Source organism: Homo sapiens, chromosome 1 (genome assembly GCF_000001405.40).
Source record: "Homo sapiens chromosome 1, GRCh38.p14 Primary Assembly".
Taxonomy (NCBI): domain Eukaryota; kingdom Metazoa; phylum Chordata; class Mammalia; order Primates; family Hominidae; genus Homo; species Homo sapiens.
In genome coordinates, this window is record NC_000001.11 from 2,100,145 (window position 1) to 2,118,871 (window position 18,727).

The window sequence follows — 18,727 nt, forward strand, 5'->3', positions numbered from 1 at the left end:
TTCCGACCCCACCACCACCCCCAAATGCATACTGCTGGCCTTTCCTGGGTTTAATTTTATTTTGCAGTGGTAGAGGTTGTTTTGCTAAAATTATTTCAAAATCTGCCTTGTGGAAAAACGCCCACGTCAGGGTGACCATCTGTGGTAACCGAGAATTCCTTGGAGGCAGCGTCTTCACCGCCTGGCTAAGCGGATGGCACAAGCTGCCAGCCAGACCTCTGTCTGTCCCTGCCCAGAGGCCCCAGCTGCCCCTTCCTCCAGGCACCTCCCTGATCTCTGGAGTCCAGGTTTTGTTCCCAAGGTCCTACCTTTGTATCTAAATGCTGTGTCCTCTCCCCGGACGATCTCCTCCAGGCACTGGCTCTCAGGGGCCAGCTCCCCATGGGCGATGATGTCTCTGATACAGGAACTTATGGGTACCTTGCAAGTTTGCACAGAAAGTGGAGCCCGTCTGTTCCTTCTGGGGTGTGCGAGCGGGGCCTCGGGGAGCAGGTGCAGGACAGGGCACAGGAGGAACAGGCACGGCTGGTGGTGTGCAGTGAACAGCAGTGGTCACACCAGGTGGTGGCTCCCGTGGGACTTTTGAGGCCGGCCCAGCCCTGAGCAGGTGGGGTCTGCAGAGGCCTCGTGGGTTGGAGGAGACTTATTCAGAGGGAGTTTTGGTCTTGCTAGAAATTGCATGAGATGAAAGATGACATTTTAATTCTATCATTGAGGCATAGTCTTTCCAACACACCCCCTGAGGTGTGAGGGAGGCTGTCCCTATATGATGTGGTCCCCGCTCCTTCAGGCTGGGGCTCCTGGCCAGTTCATCTTTCGTCCTGTGTCTGACTTTCTCTATCATTTCTAAAATGACTAAGACAATTTATTTTGTTAAAAAAAAAAAAAAAAAAAGGCGTTAAGATGATTCTACTTTGTAGAGGGATCCCAAGGGAGCGTCTCCTCTGGGACTGGCCCTGTCCCCCATCTTGTTTTCCCTCTAAACGACATGTGAGTTCCCAACTCTTGATTTTAGTTCTGACAACTGGAGACTTTATTCCCATACCTTTTTAAAACTTTTTAAAAGGTTTAACTTCAAGGAGATACCATTCCTTTTGTGTATTTGGTTACTAAAGCTGTCTTGCATCTCAAATGTGATTTAAGAAATCAAGCAAAATGCACTGGCCACGTCCTCTCAGTAGGGGGAGGCCAGCGGGCATCTCCCCTCCTCGCCCCTTCTCTGGTGGTCTCACTGATGTCCCCCGGCCCCCAGCCCTCCTTCCTTTCTTTCCCTTGACTTTGTCCTCAGACTCCAGGGACAACCCCTGGTGCGAGACATCCTGTTGCTGATTTACTTGTTCTCTCATTTGTTTCTGTGTTTGTTCCATTTCTTTCGTTCATTCATTCATTCATTCATACTCAGCTGCGGAGACCATCAGCCAGTCTGCGTTCGGCCTGTGTCTGCCACTGGCTGCAGGGCCCGGGGCAAAGGTCTTCAAGTGCCCTGGGCTTCAGTTCCCCTTCCTGGAGAATGAGGGTGGGAGAGCACCTCCCCTGGGGGTTTGCGAAGATGACATGAGCCCGTGCATCCTGGGTCTGGACCGCATCTGATACTTAGCAGGTACTTAGCAGCAGGTACTGAGTAGACACAGTGCTCCACAGCAAAGATGTGTGGCAGAGGCGTAGTGGATGCGTGATCGAGACGCACAGTAGACACGCAAGGATACACGGCAGAGATACGTGGTGGGTATATAATGGATACAGCGGGCGTGGTGGATTTATAACAGATATGTAGCAGATATGTGATAGGAGCCAGGCATGGTAATGACAAGTCAGGAATGTCACAGAGGACTGTGTCTTCTGGGGGTCCTGGGGCCTTTTCACGAGGAAGGATTGCAGGTGGGGCTTTGGAAAAATTGTCCAATTTCCATCCCCTGTCTCCTTTCCCCGGTCACCGCTCCTACCCAGTAGCAGGTGGAGAAGGTGACTTCCATACTGGGGGCCAGGATCAGGAGCAGCCACATGCCAGAGCGGGTAGGCAGCCCCTGGTGCCTGCCTGGCCCTGCCCCGACCTCCACACCAGTTCAGCCCTGTGTCCTGCCCAGGATGGATGGGTGGGTAATTTATTGATTCATTCATTTCCAGGGTCTCGTGTGGGCTTTGTGAAGCCTAGTACACGTTTTTTATTGCGTTTTTTTTTTTGTTTGTTTTGTTTTGTTTTGTTTTTGAGATGAAGTCTCACTGTGCTGCCCAGGCTGGAGTGCAGTGGTGCAATCTTGGCTCACTGCAAGCCCCGTCTCCCAAGTTCACACCATTCTCCTGCCTCAGCCTCCCGAGTAGCTGGGAGTACAGGCGCCCACCACCACGTCCCGCTAATTTTTTGTATTTTTAGTAGAGATGGGGTTTCACTGTGTTAGCCGGGATGGTCTCGATCTCCTGACCTCGTGATCCGCCCGCCTTGGCCTCCCAAAGTGCTAGGATTACAGGTGTGAGCCACCGTGCCCGGCCCTCGTTTTTGTTTGTTTTACTTTGTTATGAGTAATGATAGATTTCTAGAAACTTCGTGTATTTTTTTCTCCACTTTATTTCAACTTTGTAGAAAGAGATCTAAAAATGCAAGTCTCCTCCCCCAACCCCCAACTCTCCTGCGTCACGGATTGGTTCAGAACCAGGAGACACAGGGCCCAGAAACCTAGGGGCTGGAGGGGCCTTACCCTTTGGACTCTTGACTGTTTTTATATTCTGGCCCCTCCCCCCGTCTGTCTCTCTCTCAAGAGACAGGGTCTTGCTCTGTCGCCCAGGCTGGAGTACAGTGGTACAATCACGGCTCACTGCAGCTGGGCTCAAGCAAGCCTCCCACCTCAGCCTCCCAACTAGCTGGGACTTCAGGCGCGCACCACCACGCTTGGCTAATTTTTTATTTTTAGTAGAGTTGGGGGTCTTGATTTGTTACCCAGGCTGGTCTGGAATGCCCCAAGTGATTCTCCCACTTCGCCCGCCCAAAGTACTGGGAGCCACCACGCCGGGCTAGACTGTGGGGTTTTTGGGGGGCAAGAATTGTACTCATATCTCTGTTTCCACAGTGGGTCTTACACTGTGGACAAACAGCAGCTGATGTTCTCACCCGGCCTTGTTCTAAGAGGACTCCAAAAAGCAAGTCGTAGCCCCAGTGACTGGGAAAGGCTTCCCCGGGAGAGCGGCCGACACAGCTGCCGCAGTAGTAAGGGTTTATTTATCAAGACTGATTTATTTATCAGTTCAAGACACAGTTACACAGAGTGTGGGGGATGGTTCATCAGCAGCTGGCACGTCCAGTGGCGCGTGTGCCTCGGGAAGGCCTGGGAGGGGGACACAGGTGCTCCGCAGGGAAAGCTGCCCCCACCCCAGCCCAAAGAAGCCCTCCAAGCTCCATCAGTCATGCAGTCATGTACTTTTCCTCATCAGCACAAACCCCGCTTCCTTGAAGAGAAGCGTGAGGCTGGGCACGGTGGCGCGTGTCTGTAGGCCTAGCTACGAGGGAGGATCGCTTGAGCCCAGGAGGTCGAGGCTGCAGGGCTATGATTGCAACACTGCACTCTGGCCTGGGCAACAGAGAAAGAGAGAGAGGACTGTCTAGAAGGGAAAACAGGGATAGCAAAGTAGATGGGAAGGAAGGGCCTCTGGGGCGGCGGGTGAGTGCTGGCCGCTCCCCTCTCCACAAGCTGCTGTGGTCTCTGGGGGCTGCACCTGAGGCGGCAGTGGGAGGAGAGGGGTGAAGGGCAACGCGCCCCCGTTTAAACACCTCCTGGCCTGGACGCCAGCTGTTCACTTGTAATCACTGGTCACCCTGAAGAGATGGGATGGACCCCTGCCCAACATTTGGCTCAGGTGTCCACACAGATGACAGCACCGCACGCAGACGGGAGGGAGCTTCTCACCACATAATGAGGTTTTCTGGGGAGAGCAGGGGAGGGGGGTCTTCCAGGATGGTCCAGAAAGGTCTTGAGCGCGCCTGTAAGGAGACTGTCTCGGTTTCCGTGGCGGCTCTGGGGCAAGGCGGGGTGAGCAGGGGCTGAGGCTTGCAGGGTTTGAACTTTCCCCAGGGCCCTCATCACCTCACTGGGATGTGGGCGGGAGGGGAGCGGGTCGTCTCAAACACCTCCAGCAGTCGAACATCAAAAAGGGGGTCCAACTCTTGGTTGCGATTTCTTTGGCTGAAGCCTGGACTCCTAGCCCCACGGGCTGAGGGAAGGTTACGGCTGGTGGTTGGATAGACGCCAGTGCTTGCCCCAGAGCTGCAGGGGAAGAAGGTGGCCTGAACCTCAGGGCCTCTGTGTCCAGTTCAGGGGCCAGTACAGCAGCATCGGTCTGCGAGGGGTATGTGTTCTAGAGGAGTGAGGGGACAGACAGGGGAGCCCCAGAGGCATCCAGTGGCGCGAATGGTGGGAAGGGCCCTAAGAGGGGAGGCTGGGAGGGGACAATCCCAGGTGGCAGGGGATGGCCGCGATGAGGCCCTGGGGTGGAGCCCAGGCAGGGAGCATCCAGGGGAAGCCAGTGTGGGTGGGGACTGGGAGGAGAGAGGGAGGCTGGGCCTGCCCTGGCGAGGGGTGGTCAGAACATCGCTCGGTGCCAGACAGGCAGGACGCAGCGGGCTGGCCTGCGGGGCTCACTGCTGCCCCCCGGGGCCGAGCACGAAAGGGAGAGTTGGAGGGCGCTTCCTCGCCGGGTGTTGCGGTGTGAGCGGGGACTGGTGAGTGTGTGCTGTCTTCAGAGAGAGAAGAGCAGTTTTCAGGGTGAGTAGCCTTTATTCTTCACACCTCATTACACAGCACCCAGGCCTTTTATTCAGGAGGGCGCGGCCGGCCTCACCCCGACAGCCACCCTGGCTTGTTGACCTTGATCTGTGACAGCTCCCCTGTGAGTTCAGACTTCTCAAGGACGCTTGCATAGCCAACATTGTTGAGAACGAGTAACCCCTTATCACAGCACACGTCTGTCGTGCCATGAAGCAATTTCCCATCCCTGTGGCTTTGAAGGCATAAGTCACTGCGTCACGGCCATGCTGTTCCTTCCAAACCTGCTCGTCAGGAGACAGCTCTTGCGCTGTGTACCGGCACTGCCGCCCAGCAGGTGACCCCAGCAGCTGGTTTGTCCCTGCCTGGGGGTGAGGGCCTGCAGGGTGTTTGTAGACGCAACTCTTGAAAGGCCCTGAGGTTGGGGCTTGGTCATGAGGGTGCCCGGGGCCCATCCGGGAGTAGAAGTAAGTGCACTAGGCATTTGGCCAAGGGTCACGTTAGGCCTTATTTATTTATTTTTTGAGACAGTCTCACTCTTTTGCCCAGGCTGGAGTGCAGTGGCGTGATCTCAGCTCACTGCAACCTTCGCCTCCCGGGTTCAAGCGATTCTCTTGCCTCGGCCTCCCGAGTAGCTGGGATTACAGGCACCTGCCACCATGCGCAGCTAATTTTTGTATTTTTAGTAGAGACGGGGTTTCACCATGTTGGCCAGGCCGGTCTCAAACTCCTGACCTCAAGTGGTCCACCCACCTCAGCCTCCCAAAGTGCTGGGATTACAGGCGTGAGCTGCCACTCCTGGCCAGGTCTTTTTTCAAATAAATGTCTAAGCAAAATGAATTTGGGGTGAAGTAGTCACAGAGCTGTCAGGAGGAGCAGGGTGGCTGCGTGCCCCTGGGAGCTGCTGTGGGTGATGACCAGGTGATGCCGGGAAGGTCACTTTCAGACACATAGTTGTCATCGTCGGATGAGAATTATTCTCAGGTCTCAGGTGGGAGGGGCTGCCCACCAGGCCTGGATGAGGCCCCACCCCCCCACACACACATGCTGGGACCACGAGTGGCACCCCCTGAGGATGAGGGGGCTCCTGCGTTTGTGCCCTGTGTGGGAGGTGCCACCTCATTTGCATGTGGCCCTTCCACGTCTCCTGGCCATGCCAGACAGGTCCTCAGGATTGTTGGGAGATGAGGGCCTCGCCCAGGACTTCGATGGGGTGTCCCCCCAGCCCCCTGTGGCTGATGGAGCAGCCTGACATTTTGTGGACACAAAGCCCCCTAGAGCCAGGGAAGGACAGGGCCGGACCCAGAGCCAGGGAAGGGAGGTGGAGCTCCAGCCAAGGCATCCAAACATCAAAAGGCAGAACTGAGCGGCTTGGTACTTGAAAAGTTTTTATTAGGAAAAATGCCAAACTGACAGAAGTAGAGAGAATTACATAGTGAGGCCTCGTGCACACCCTGCCTGGCTCCTGGCAACCTGCACTCCAGCCGATACCTGTGACTCTCAGCAAGCCCCTCTAGTGGGCGAGGACCTCCACACGTGTCGCCAGGCCAGGCGACTCTCAGCAAGCCCCTCCAGTGGGCGAGGACCTCCACACGTGTCACCAGGCCAGGTAACTCTCAGCAAGCCCCTCTGGTGGGCGAGGACCTCCACACGTGTCACCAGGCCAGGTAACTCTCAGCAAGCCCCTCCAGTGGGCGAGGACCTCCACACGTGTCACCAGGCCAGGTAACTCTCAGCAAGCCCCTCTGGTGGGCGAGGACCTCCACGTGTGTCACCAGGCCAGGTAACTCTCAGCAAGCCCCTCCGGTGGGCGAGGACCTCCATGCGTGTCACCAGGCCAGGTAACTCTCAGCAAGCCCCTCTGGTGGGCGAGGACCTCCACACGTGTCACCAGGCCAGGTGACTCTTCAGCAGGCCCCTCTGGTGGGCGAGGACCTCCACACGTGTCACCAGGCCAGGCGACTCTTCAGCAAGCCCCTCCACACGTGTCACCAGGCCAGGTGACTCTCAGCAAGCCCCTCCGGTGGGCGAGGACCTCTGCACGTGTCTCCAGAGGCCAAAGCAGAAGAAAACGTTAGCACAGGAGTCACTTGACTTCACCAAACGCAGCCAGGATTGCGGTTTCTCCGGCTCGGCTGTCTCAGTTGTTTAAGAGAGTTCATGCTTTTGAGATCAAAGTTAAAAGAAGGCCTGTGCCTCGCAGGGCCTGCTCTGCCTCCCCCGTGTTTCCTCGGGGTTCTGCGTCTGTGACCGGGGTGCGGAGCACTGGTGTGCAGTTCTCTGTCTCGTGATTCGTGTAACAGTGAGTGCTGCCTGCACCAACAGCCGGCTGCCTTCCGTGGCTGTGTGGGCTCCTGTGCGGAGGCCGCCCCTCTCCCTGGCCAAGCAACACTGAGGCGGGATTGCGTCCTCCCTCTCCTGAGGCAGGTCCTGCTCCAGACCTGCTTTTTTCCCGCACGTCACGTGTCCTGAGACCCCTCAGTGGATGCGTCCTCTCTCCTTCCACGGCCGCACACACTCCCGTGCCCGTTGGGCTGGGCTGACTGATGCATGTGGGGGCTCCGTCCCATCTTTTTCAACTACAGATGGAGCTGCGGTGGGAAAACGTGTGCAGATACCTCCCATTTTACTTTTGTGCTGGGGCTTTTTTGGGATCAGTTCCTAGAAGTAGGGGACTGGGTGAAAGGCTGATCACCCTCAGACACCGAACCCCTGGAGGAAACACAGGGAGGGAGGATGAGCCCTGCGAGGTGCAGGCCTTCTTTTAACACTGACCTTGGGTTCTCAGGACTGCCGAAATCCCCTCTACCCGGGCTGTGCCTCTCCGGCCTGTGCCTCTCCGGCCCTTCGGCAGTGTCGAGGGAGCCCCCAACACCCAGCAGCATCCAGGGATTTCCCCCAGGGCAGTGTCGGGAGCCCCCAACACCCCAACAGCGTCCAGGGATTCCCCCCAGGGCAGTGTCGAGGGAGCCCCCAACACCCCGGCAGTGTCCAGGGATTCCCCCCAGGGCAGTGTCGGGAGCCCCCCAACCCCGGCAGTGTCAAGGGAGCCCCTGGCAGTGTCAAGGGAGCCCCCAGACAGTGTCAAGGGAGCCCCCCAACCCCGGCAGTGTCAAGGGAGCCTGCCTCCGTGGGGTGCTGCCAGCCTTAGGCCTGGGCCAGTCGGGGTGGTTGGATGCCTGTTCTGGGGGTAGAGAAGTCAGGTAGCCCAGGGCCCGCACTCTCAATAGACCTTCAGAGAAAAGGCATCGAGGTAAATGCCGCACTCGAGTACCCGTGTGATCTCTGGGTGGGGCCATGATCCTTCTGGGCGCTGGTCCAAGCGCGTGGTGAGGCCGTCCTCTCCTGCAGAACCCCGGCCTCTTCGCCCCTGCCCGCTCACCTGTTCTGTCCTGCTCACCTCCTCCAGGAAGCCTGCCTGGCCTTCTCCATGCTGATGGGCGTGGCCCCTTGTCCCTGCAGCCATGCATTGACCTCCGTGGCTCCTGGAGGCCAGGCCACGTCCTCATCCCCTCTGGGTGAGTGAGAGGCACAGCCTGGGTGCGTGGGGCCGTGGCGGCTCCGAGGCGCCACCGCTGTGTCCTCTCATGAGTGGGTGCCGTCCAGGTCTGTCCTGGGCTGGCTGCGAGGAGGAGGTTGGCCTCGCGCGGCCATGTGCGTGACAGTGGAGACATCGCCAGCCTCCTGCTTGCACAGCTGACGGCAGCCCCTCTCTCTCCAGCCATGTCCCCAGGACTCTTGAGTAGTTGGCCTGGTGGCCGTGGGAGAAGCAGGCCCCGAGTCCCCAGGGCTGTGAGCGAGGCTGTCTGATGTGCTCCCTGGTCACCACCCCCTGCCTGTCCGTCTTGCCTGGGCAGATGGAGGTGGATGAACTTCCTGCGGCCGCTGTAACAGTGGCCGCCACTGGGGGGCTTAAAGCAACACGCATTTGTTAGCTCAGCGGTCTGGAGGGTGCGAGTGCAGATGGAGCTCACTGGGCCAAATTTAGTCAAGGCACCAGCTGGGTGGGTTCTTTCTGGGGGCTCCAGGGAGACCCCGTTTCCCGCCTTCTCCGGCGTCTGAAGCCGCCTGCCCCTTGGTGCAGCCCTGAGTCACCCCAGCCTCTGCCTCCGTCTCACGTCACCGCCTCTGATACAGCCGCCCCCCCATCCCTCTTGTGAGGACCCCGCAATGACGTGGGCCCACCCAGATCATCCAGGAACATCTCCCCATCCCCACGTCCTTCACTTCATCGTCTGCAAAGTCCCGTATGCCACGGAAGGTGACACAGTCTTGGGTCCCGGGACTTGCATGTGGGGCTGTCTGGGTTTTGCACAGCTGACCATGGGTGCTTCCGGATGCTTGGCATTGGAGGTTTCTGTCCTCTGCTGGAAGGATTCCTGGAGTGAGGGCAGCAGAGGGCACCCAGATGGAGGCACTGCCGGACGCGCAGGGGCGATGGTCGGGGGGCACCTGGGAGCCACCTTCCCTTGTCTCTGGGGGGTGACCCTTGACCTTGGTGGCCTCAGTTTTCTCATCTGTAAAGTGGTGCACACGATACCTGCTCCGTCCTCCTCACTGAATTGTCCTGAGATCAGGTGTGGTCGTGAATATTAAACATGTGGATTGCAACCCTAGACAGAGCTCCCTTGGACGGTTGAGCAGATGCAGCCAGGTGTGGGTCCGGCTGTGGGCGGAGGGGGTCACACGGGGCCGAGTGGCTTCAGCGAGAGTCCATAGGACATGGAGAGTCCCGGCCGTGGTGAGGACACGGGGTTGCGGCAGCTCACGCCCACTGCAGTGTCCGGAAGGCGGTGCTAGGTCCACCTCATTTACGGGGTCGGGCTCTCATTCTCCCCATTGTACAGCCCAGCCTGTAGAGGCAGGTGAGGTCCAGGCCATGGGCCTGTGGGCCGTGCCACGTCGCTCAGATTTTGTGGTGTCGGTGGTGGGAGCCGCCGGGGAAAGCCGTCATCCTGGAGCCGGGCGAGAGAGGGCCAGGGCAGTGGGGTGGACTCCAGAAATGTCCAGTAGCAGAATTGCCAGACCTGGCCATTGGCTGGGGTGTTGAGGGAGACGTCTCCAGGGATGTCCAGTGTCTCCCAGTCTGGGCAAGCGGAGGAGCCGGCCAGCATGGGCCATTTCATCGGGGCCCTCCCTGGGGGCAGCCAAGGACCTAAAACCAATGGGTCCCAACCAAGAGGATCCCAGAGGTGAGACACAGAACGGCCAGGGCTGAATCCGGGGCCCTCCCTGGGGGCAGCCAAGGACCTAAAACCAATGGGTCCCAACCAAGAGGATCCCAGAGGTGAGACACAGAACGGCCAGGGCTGAATCCGGGGCCCTCCCTGGGGGCAGCCAAGGACCTAAAACCAATGGGTCCCAACCAAGAGGATCCCAGAGGTGAGAAACAGAACGGCCAGGGCTGAATCTGCCTCCAGCGGGGGCCCCGGGCGTGATCAGAGCAGGCAGGACCTTTCTTCCCTCTCTGCAGCTCCGGCACTGGCTTCCTCCGTTCAGGCTTCATCCCCGGTCAGGGGGCTCCTGGTCCCGTGGCAGCCCCGTGGCTCCTGGGTCGCAGCTTCATGGGGGAAACAGAGACTCCTCTGGTACCAGGGTCCCCTGAATCTCCGGAGTCCCCCAAGTCCATTGAGTCCACTGGGCCCGAAGAGGGAAACAGAGACTCCTCTGGTACGAAGGTCCCCCAAGTCCCTGGAGTCCCCTGAGTCCACTGGGCCCTCGACACCCTTGGGTCACTTGTCCACCCTCACACCATCGCTGGCCCAGGGAATGGGGGTTTGGATCGGCCTTGGTGACTGTGGGCCTCTGCCTGAAACCCTGTGAGTGTGGGTGGGGTGGGCTGGGTCCTGAGAGAGCTGGGAGCAGCGGAGTGAAGGGGGCTGGGGTGGGGCTGGTGACAGTGGAGTCCCTGTGGGGGGCAGGGCTGGTGGACAGTAGAGTCCCTGTAGGGGCTGGTGACAGTGGACTCTGTGGGGCCAGGGTGGGGCTGGTGGACGGTGTAGTTCCTGAGAGACCGAGCCGGAAGGTGAGGGACTGGAAGCTTGCACACGTCCCTGCGGCCTTCCCCTCGGGTGCGAGGCCTGCCATCCTGAGCTCCCCCACCCTACCCCGTGCCCGCCCTGAGGGCGGGACCCAGGCCAGTTCACACAGCATGGCGAGGTAAGGGCTCAGGATGGAAGGCAGGAGGAAAGTTGGGCCTGCTGCACCCATGGGTATTGCGGCAGGGAAGGCGAGGAGGAGCCGAGGTGGGTGCTGGGAGCTGTGGGGCTGGCTGTGCGTGTTGGGCCTAACTCGGGCTGAGCTGAGGTTACTGAGCCCTCAGGAGGGTGCTGTGGGAAAAGAAAGAGGCAGAGAAGGTGTCTTTGGACCACTTAGGGGACGGGGAGGGAACCCCACGGCAACTGTGAAGGTCTGGGGCACAGCCAGGGAGGGTCCCAGGTTGACAGGGACAGGCGGGGTGGGGGTGCAACATGGAGGCCTGGGGCTGAGCCTCCGAGAAGTGATGGGCAGGATGAGGGGGCCAGAGGGGATCACGCAACAAGGGGTGCACCTTGGTGGTCTGGGTGTCTCCAGAGAAGCTGGTTGTCAGGACTCAAGAGGCGGACAGGGAGGGGCTGGGGTTAGGGAAGAGTGTGTGGCAGGGGGAGGAAGGGAGCCTGCTTGCCGGGTCACCTGGCATTGGGAGCTGTCCCCTGCCTGCTGCGCCCCGCCTGCCATTGTTGGAGTTCTCCAGTCTGGGCTGGTCTGGATGAGGAACTGGCGGGGCTGCTGCCGGCCTGGACTCAGGACCCTCACCCTCCAGCCCGCACCCTCGACTCCCCACCAGCCAGACCCTCTGTCCTGGTGTGGACAGCACCCACATCCTGGCTCCACCCTTGTTTCTTGCCCTTTGACCTACAGCCTCAGGACGTGCAGGAGGGAGGTACGTAGGCACTTGTGGGTCCGGCCTCCTGACCGACCGTCCATCCACCACCAGGCTTCTGGATGTTCACCCATGTGGGAGAGACGGGTGTCGGGGAAGGGACCACAGCTTCCTTTCAGAAGACCCGGGAAGGGCAGTGCCGTGTGCCAGCCTCCCAGTTGGCACCTTCCTTTCACCTTAGTCGTCTTCGAGGCGATGTTTCCTCGGGACAAGTCATTTTCATGAATCTGCTGTAAAACGTCTCCCAAACTCCAAGTGTTTCCCAAACTGAGTGAAAATCGCTGCAGAATGTGGTTTCCAGCAGAGCTTTTCCCCTCTCCTTCCTTCACCTCTGCCTGGGTTACAGGGTGCGGGTTCCAGGAGTCTGCCTAGAAGGCAAAAAACAGGCTTTGCTTAGAATCCCCTAAATTGCTCATAAAACACAGTGTTTGACGTTTATGTGTAGACATGATCCTTATGTGGGTTAAGCTGAGGCCCCTGCCCCAGTGACACAGAGGCCTCAAACGGCACAGTGCACCTTCTGTCCGAAGCAGCCGGCGAGGCGGCCCGCGAACCTCTGACGTGCTCCATTGCAATGAGGATGAACGAGCCTCAGGCGGAGGGTCAGCCTGGAACCCCTGCCCCGTGAACACCAGCCAGCTTCATGCTGAGGACCCCTCAGTCCAACCCAGAGGCCCATGCTGAGGTCCCGGCATGGGGGACTGTGGGGTGCAGCCGCCGCTTGGAGCGGAGGTGAATGGGACCCCACACGTTTCCTCCTCCTTCTCTGGATGCCTGTAATCATCACAGTACTCAAAAAAGGAAGAAGAAAAAGGTCCTTGAAACTTGCTGGAGTTGCAGTTCCGTTTTTTTGTTTGTTTGGTTGGTTGGTTGGTTTTTTTTTTTTTTGGAGACAGAGTCTTGCTCTTGTCGCCCAGGCTGGAGTGCAGTGGCGTGATCTCGGCTCACTGTAACCTCCACCTCCTGGGTTCAAGGGATTTTCCTGCCTCAGCCTCCCAAATAGCTGGGACTACAGGAGCTCGCCACCATGTCTGGCTATTTTTTTTCTATATTTGGTAGAGGCGGGGTTTCACCGTGTTGGCCAGGCTGGTCTCGAACTCCTGACCTCAGGCGATCCGCCTGCCTTGGCCTCCCAAAGTGCTGGGATTACAGGCTTGAGCCACTGCGCCCGGCCCCATTTTCTTTACATTTGTGACTTACAGTCATCAGCTGAAGGAAAGACAGTGGCTTGGCTAGGGCCTGCCCACTGCTGGCCGAGGCTGGCCGGGTCACCCAGGTGCCTGCCTCTCCTGCTCTGGAGCCGGGCACTGCCTGAGGGCCTGCAGCACCAGTCAGGGCCCCGGGGGATCCCTCCAGGGTCTCAGTTCTGACTAGCGAGTACCTCGATTCATGAGTATGTTTTTTAATGTAAGGTTTTAACGTAAGGTTTAAAAAGGCAGCCGCCCCGTTTCCTCCCCACTGGTCTCGCCTTCAGCAGTGATTTGTGGTGACTGTGACGTTCTCTTCGGTGGGCTGCCTGTGGATCGCCAAGTATGTGCTCCTGCTGCTTCTACCTGATGTCTCCCCATCTTGGGCTTTGAGGGGGGCTCATCCGGGGCATTCATATTTTCTGCCCGAGTTCGCTCCTGACCCAGGGCAGGTGGAAGCCAGCAGGTGAGGACCAGGGTGTCAGCCAGAAACTCGGAAGTGGCACAGAGGCAGCATCCGATAGCCCCTTTGTCAGAGGCGACCAGGGCCTTGAGTGAGCTGGGATGGACTTCTCTTATCCTGACATCCTGGAAGGGGGTGCAGCCTGCCTGTCTGTGTCCCAGTTGAGTTGGCAACATTTTTTGTCTTTCCTCATGATGCACGAAGTAGTGGTATCTCTGAGAGCCAATGGCAGCCTAGCTGCCGTGGAGAATGCTGGGGGGTGGGTGAGAGTTGGGGCACAGAGGACTCATGGGGCAGAGGCTGTGGTCCAGTCCTTGTGGGGGTGACTCCAGGGATGGCAGGTGGGTGGTGTGGCCAAGGAGGAGGGAGGTCAAGGCACTGGTGTTGGGGCAGGGAGAAGGGACCGCAGTGCCCATGTGTTTGAGGGAGGGGAGATGATGGTGTGGGAGTGTAGAGAGGGCGGGGGCCCAGCCCACAGCATCCATGCCCTGGGGATTGGGTGCCACCGGTCAAGGGCTCCACGGGGCTGGCTCTGGGGGAGGGAGAGCGGGCGCCATGTTGTGTGTGTGGTGCGTGTGGCGCGTGGGTGAGGGTATGGCCGGCTGCGTAAGTTTGTGGAAGCGTTCGGAATGCTCAGGAGATAAAAACAGCAGAGGGCTGCACCCCCCCACCCTCCCACCCCAGCTTTTCTCCAGGAGGACGCTCCGTCGTGGCCTGGGAGGACGTGGAAGGAGGGACCCCGGATGCAGGGCAGGTTCGTCTTGTGTGTTGAGAACGTGCTCTCCAGGGATCTGTGTTAATACAGGTAGCCCAAGCACAGTGTCCAATGAGGGAAGGAACATTTGAAACAGAAGAGATGACTTATTTTGTTGGACAAAAAAGGAATATGGTGGACATTAATTCTTAGAAGAGGTTTTATTTGAAACAAGTCACAAAAATAATCAAACAGCAGGTTGACTTTGGAGTTCAGCTCACAAAAGTTAAGCTTACAGAGCAAATAAAATAAGCTGAAGAAAAAGATAAGATGACTGGGCGCAGTGGCTCACGCCTGTAATCCCAGCACTTTGGGAGGCCGAGGCGGGTAGATCACGAGGTCAGGAGTTTGAGACCATCCTGGCTAACACGGTGAAATCCAGTCTCTACTAAAAATACAAAAATTAGCCGAGTGTGGTGGTGGACACCTGTAGTCCCAGCTGCTCGGGAGGCTGAGGCAGGAGAATCGCTTGAACCCGGGAGGTGGAGGTGGCAGTGGGCCGAGATCGTGCCACTGCACTCCAGCCTGGTGACAGAGCGAGACTCCGTCTCAAAAAAAAAAGAAAAAGAAAAAGAAAAAGCTAAGATGCAGCAGGTGGAGCCGCCTGCCGTTGGGTTTCAGCTTTTCTTATGGAAAGAATGTTACGGCCTGGGTGCCTCCATTCTCTGATTTCTTTTTCTTTCTTGACTTTTTAAAATTGAAACAAAACTCCCTAAAACATGAAATCTGAAGCGTTCAACTCCACGAGTTTTTACAAAGCAAACTGCACCGCGTCACATAGCTGATCCGTGTGTAGCTTGTCCTCTGGACGCGGGGCCACCCCCACACCCCGAGGTGACCCCAGGCGTAACCTACCCGTCCCCGGCCTTGGTGCCTGCAGATAGTTTTGCTTGTTTCGAGCTTTTGTCTTGGGATCCGGGGCCATCCACCCTGGGTGTGGCCGCTCAGTCGGGCCCCTGTGTGGGGCTTTCCCGTGGTGTGGGGTGCGGTTCTGCCGTGTCCGTCCCCACTGCGGGGCTGCTCTGCTGGCTGAATTCTCCACGTCTTATGTATCCACCCTCATCTTGCGAGGCACCGGGGTCCCGGCTTTTGGCCACAGACATCCGAGCGCCTTCTGTTGCCCGTGGCGCATCTTTCATGTGGGCACACCCAGGAGTGGAGTTTCCGGGAAACAGACGTTTCCCTCGCGTGGCCGCACCAGGTCGCACTCTGCACTGTGTTTCTGCCTCCAGTTATGTGGGGTTTTCTGCACCCACAGCCACTCTGGCGCCAGCTGGGTGTCCTGTGTTTCCATTCAGCTCTGACATCAATTACCTGACGTTAGCGCAGACCCTGCAGATGAAGGGCTCATTCCCACAAGCCTGCCCCTACTTGAGAGCCAGCTGCAAGTGCCAGGTGACAACCTGGATTCTGACCAACTGGCTGTGAATCGGGGGTGTCCGTGACCCCTTCCTGAGGCTCGGGTGGGCTAGAATAGCTCCCGGAACTCAGGAAAACACTTTGCTTAGTGTACCCGTTTATTAGAAAGGACAGCCACACGGAGGAGCTGCACGGGAGGCTGAGGTATGGGGGGTGCAGAGCTTCCGTGCCCTCTCCAGGCACGCCACCCTCCAGCACCTTGGTATATTCACCAACTCGGACACTCTCCAGACCATGTCATTGAGGGCTTTTTGTGGAGGCTTCGTGACAGGCACGGTTGATTCAACAGCCAGCCACTGCTGATTACCTCAGTCTCTCCTGTCTCCTCTCTGGACCGTGGGCTGTGGGACGGAAAGTTCCAACCCGCTAGGCATTCCTTGGTCCTGCTGAAGACCAGCCGCATCCTGGAGCTGTCCCGGCTCCCGGCTCCCCGTCATCTCATTAGCATGCAAAAAGACACTCTTACCGCACTCCAGGATTCCTAGGGTCAGAGGGGCTGCGCGCTGGGAAACTGAGACAAAGGCTGAATCTGTGTTGATGGCACAGTCACTCTGGGTCGTGTGGGAATTCCCGATGCACCTCCTTCCAGCACATGGACTGTCAGAGCCCTGCGTTGTCGCCAGCACAGCAGATCTGAAAGGCACTAGGCTGTGGCCTCGCGACGGCTGAGGTGAGCTGCTTCTCCGAGGCTCCCGGGTTATTGGGGACCCTCCTTTTAAAGGTGCCTGTTCCAGTCTTTTGCCCCATTTCAAAATTGGGCTGTCAAAGAACAATGTCATTGGGGGGTCCGTCTTTTTTGTTGGTTCCTGGGGGCTGTGTGTGTTTTAGAGACAAGTGCTTTGATTTTTTGTGTTGCAAACAGCTTCTGTCACTCCGCGGCTCGCCTTCCACTCCATGGATGGTGTCTTCTGATGAACAGAAAGTAAAAGCTTACTTTATAATTAGGGCTTTTGCGTCCTGGCTGTGTGTGGGGCCTCTTTCTGGACTGATCTGTCCCCTTTGTTTTTTGCCCCCATGTCGTACTGTTCTGATTTCTTCTGCTTTATAATCACCATTGGTAACTTGTGTTATGAGTCTCCAATTTGGGGTTTTTAGTTTTCAAGGTTATCTTGGTTATTGGCTTTTTACATTTCCATACACATGGGCTTGTTAATAAGCCATTTACAGTTGGCTTATTTGCTTTCAAAATCTCCATAAGACATTTGGATTGCATTTGGATTTCTTGATCAGTATGGGAGATTAGCATCTTTACAATACTGAGGTTTCCAATCCGTGAACATATCTTTAGGCCTTTGATTGGGGTTTTTTTGGCAGGGGAGTTGCGGGGGGCAGACAGGACCTCACTCTTGCCCAGGCTGGAGTGCAGTGGCATGATCATGGCTCACTGCAGCCTTGACCTCCTGGGCTCAAGCAATCCTCCCACCTCAGCCTCCCAAGTAGCTGGGACTACAGGTGTGCACCACCATGCCCAGCTATTTTGGCATTTTTTTGTAGAGACAGGGTCTCCCTATGTTGCCCAGGCTGGTCTTGAACTCCTGGGCTCAAGTGGTCCTTCTGCCTCAGCCTCCTAAGGTGCTGGGATTACAGATGCAAGCCACTGCACCCGGCCTTAAATTCTTTCAATAATATTTTGTAGTCTTGTGTGTAGCGGTCATCCACATTTTTTGTTCAAATGATTCCCTGGTATTTCAGTGCTTATGCTGTTTTAAGCCGTATTACTTTTACAGTTTTTTTTTTTTTATCTTTTTGTTTATAGCAATGTGTAAAGAAGTGTGATTAACTCATTTGTCTTGGCCTCTCCTGGTCCCCGTAGTTTGTCTGTGGTTGCTCCGGAACCTCTCTGTGCGCTGCCATTTTGTCAGTGACCGGCTGTTTGTTTCTGCCTTTCCTTCAGATGTTGCCTTGTTACCCTGGCACTGTTGATCCTTCCAAAACAGTATGGGACAGAAGTGGTGACAGCCACATCCTCTCGTGCCTGATTTCAGGGAAAAGCTTTAAGAATTCCACCATTAAGGGTGCTGTTTGCGGAAATACTGTTTTTCCTTCGTAAATCCCCACCAACAAATTAAAGAGGTTCTATTTTATTCCTAGTTGAAAGTTGTTAATATGAATGGTGCTGAATTTTTTCAGATGCTTTTTTTCCTTCATCTATTGATGTGACAGAACTTTTCTCCTTTATTCTGTTCATACGATGAATTCTATGGATTGGCTCTTAATGGTAGACCGATGGCATTCCTGTAGTGTGCCTCGTTTGGTTGTGATGAGTTCGCCTTTTTATATTTTGCTTGATTCAGTTTGCTATTATTTTGTTTGTTGTTTTTGCAACTGTATTTATGAGAGAGATTAGCCTATTATTTCTTTTTTTTTTTTTTTTGGAGTCTCACTCTGTCACCCAGGCTGGAGTGGAGTTCAGTGGCCCGATCTGGGCGCACTGCAACCTCCGCCTCCCTGGTTCAAGCGATTCTCCTGCCTGAGCCTCCTGAGTAGTTGGGATTACAGGTGTGTGCCACCACGCCTGGTTAATTTTTGTATTTTTAGTAGAGACAGGGTTTCACCATGTTGGCCAAGCTGGTCTTGAACCCCTGACCTTAGGTGATCCGCCCGCCTTGGCCTCCCAAAGTGCTGGGATTACAGGTGTGAGCCACCATGCCTGGCCATATCTTCCTTTTGATTGATGCTTTTATCATCATGAAATGTTTTTGTTTTTTTTTTTTTGAGACAGAGTGTCGCTCTGTCCCCCAGGCTGGAGTGCAGTGGCACCATCTCCACTCACTGCAAGCTCTGCCTCCTGGGTTCACGCCATTCTCCTGCCTCAGCCTCCTGAGTAGCTGGGACTACAGGTGCCTGCCACCGCGCCTAGCTAATTTTTTATATTTTTAGTAGAGACGAGGTTTCACCGTGTTAGCCAGGATGGTCTCGATCTCCTGACCTCCTGATCCGCCTGCTTCGGCCTCCCAAAGTGCTGGGATTACAGGCGTGAGCCACTGTGCCCGGCCAAATGTTGCTCTTTAGATGAAAATATTATTGTCATTAACATCTGATCTGTATGATGTTAGTGTGACCACACCAGCTCTGTGTGTGTGTGTGTGTGTGTGTGTGTGTGTGTGTGTGTGTGAGATGAGGGGAGGGAGGGAAGGGGACTTAGTGTTTATATGCTCTATTTTTTCATCCTTTCACTTTCTTTTCTGTATATTTTGGAAATGACTCTTAAAAGCAGAAGTTAGTTATTTT

General features: G+C 56.5%; 1 protein-coding gene across 29 annotated transcripts in view, besides 1 other annotated feature; it reads left to right on the forward strand.

The window, feature by feature from the left end:
- PRKCZ (protein kinase C zeta) overlaps positions 1-18,727 on the forward strand; it is a 136,892-nt gene that overhangs the window by 51,641 nt on the left and 66,524 nt on the right. For 4 of the 29 annotated variants that reach the window (XM_047425323.1, NM_001033582.3, XM_024448391.2 and 1 more), the window contains exon 1: positions 4,572-4,751. The exons of 22 other annotated variants lie outside the window; for them this stretch is intronic. The gene's annotated coding sequence lies outside the window, so the exon portion shown is untranslated. Of the gene's footprint in view, positions 1-4,571; positions 4,752-11,509; positions 11,674-18,727 lie in introns of those variants that run through there. 3 more of the 29 variants (XM_047425348.1, XM_047425304.1, XM_047425340.1) reach the window with 1 other exon arrangement.
- Positions 12,354-12,403: an enhancer, noted in NCBI's record as "active region_46". NCBI's record gives its function as "activates an Ori minimal core promoter by ATAC-STARR-seq in GM12878 lymphoblastoid cells {active_cell/tissue: GM12878}" and the evidence as "EXISTENCE:reporter gene assay evidence [ECO:0000049][PMID:35858748]".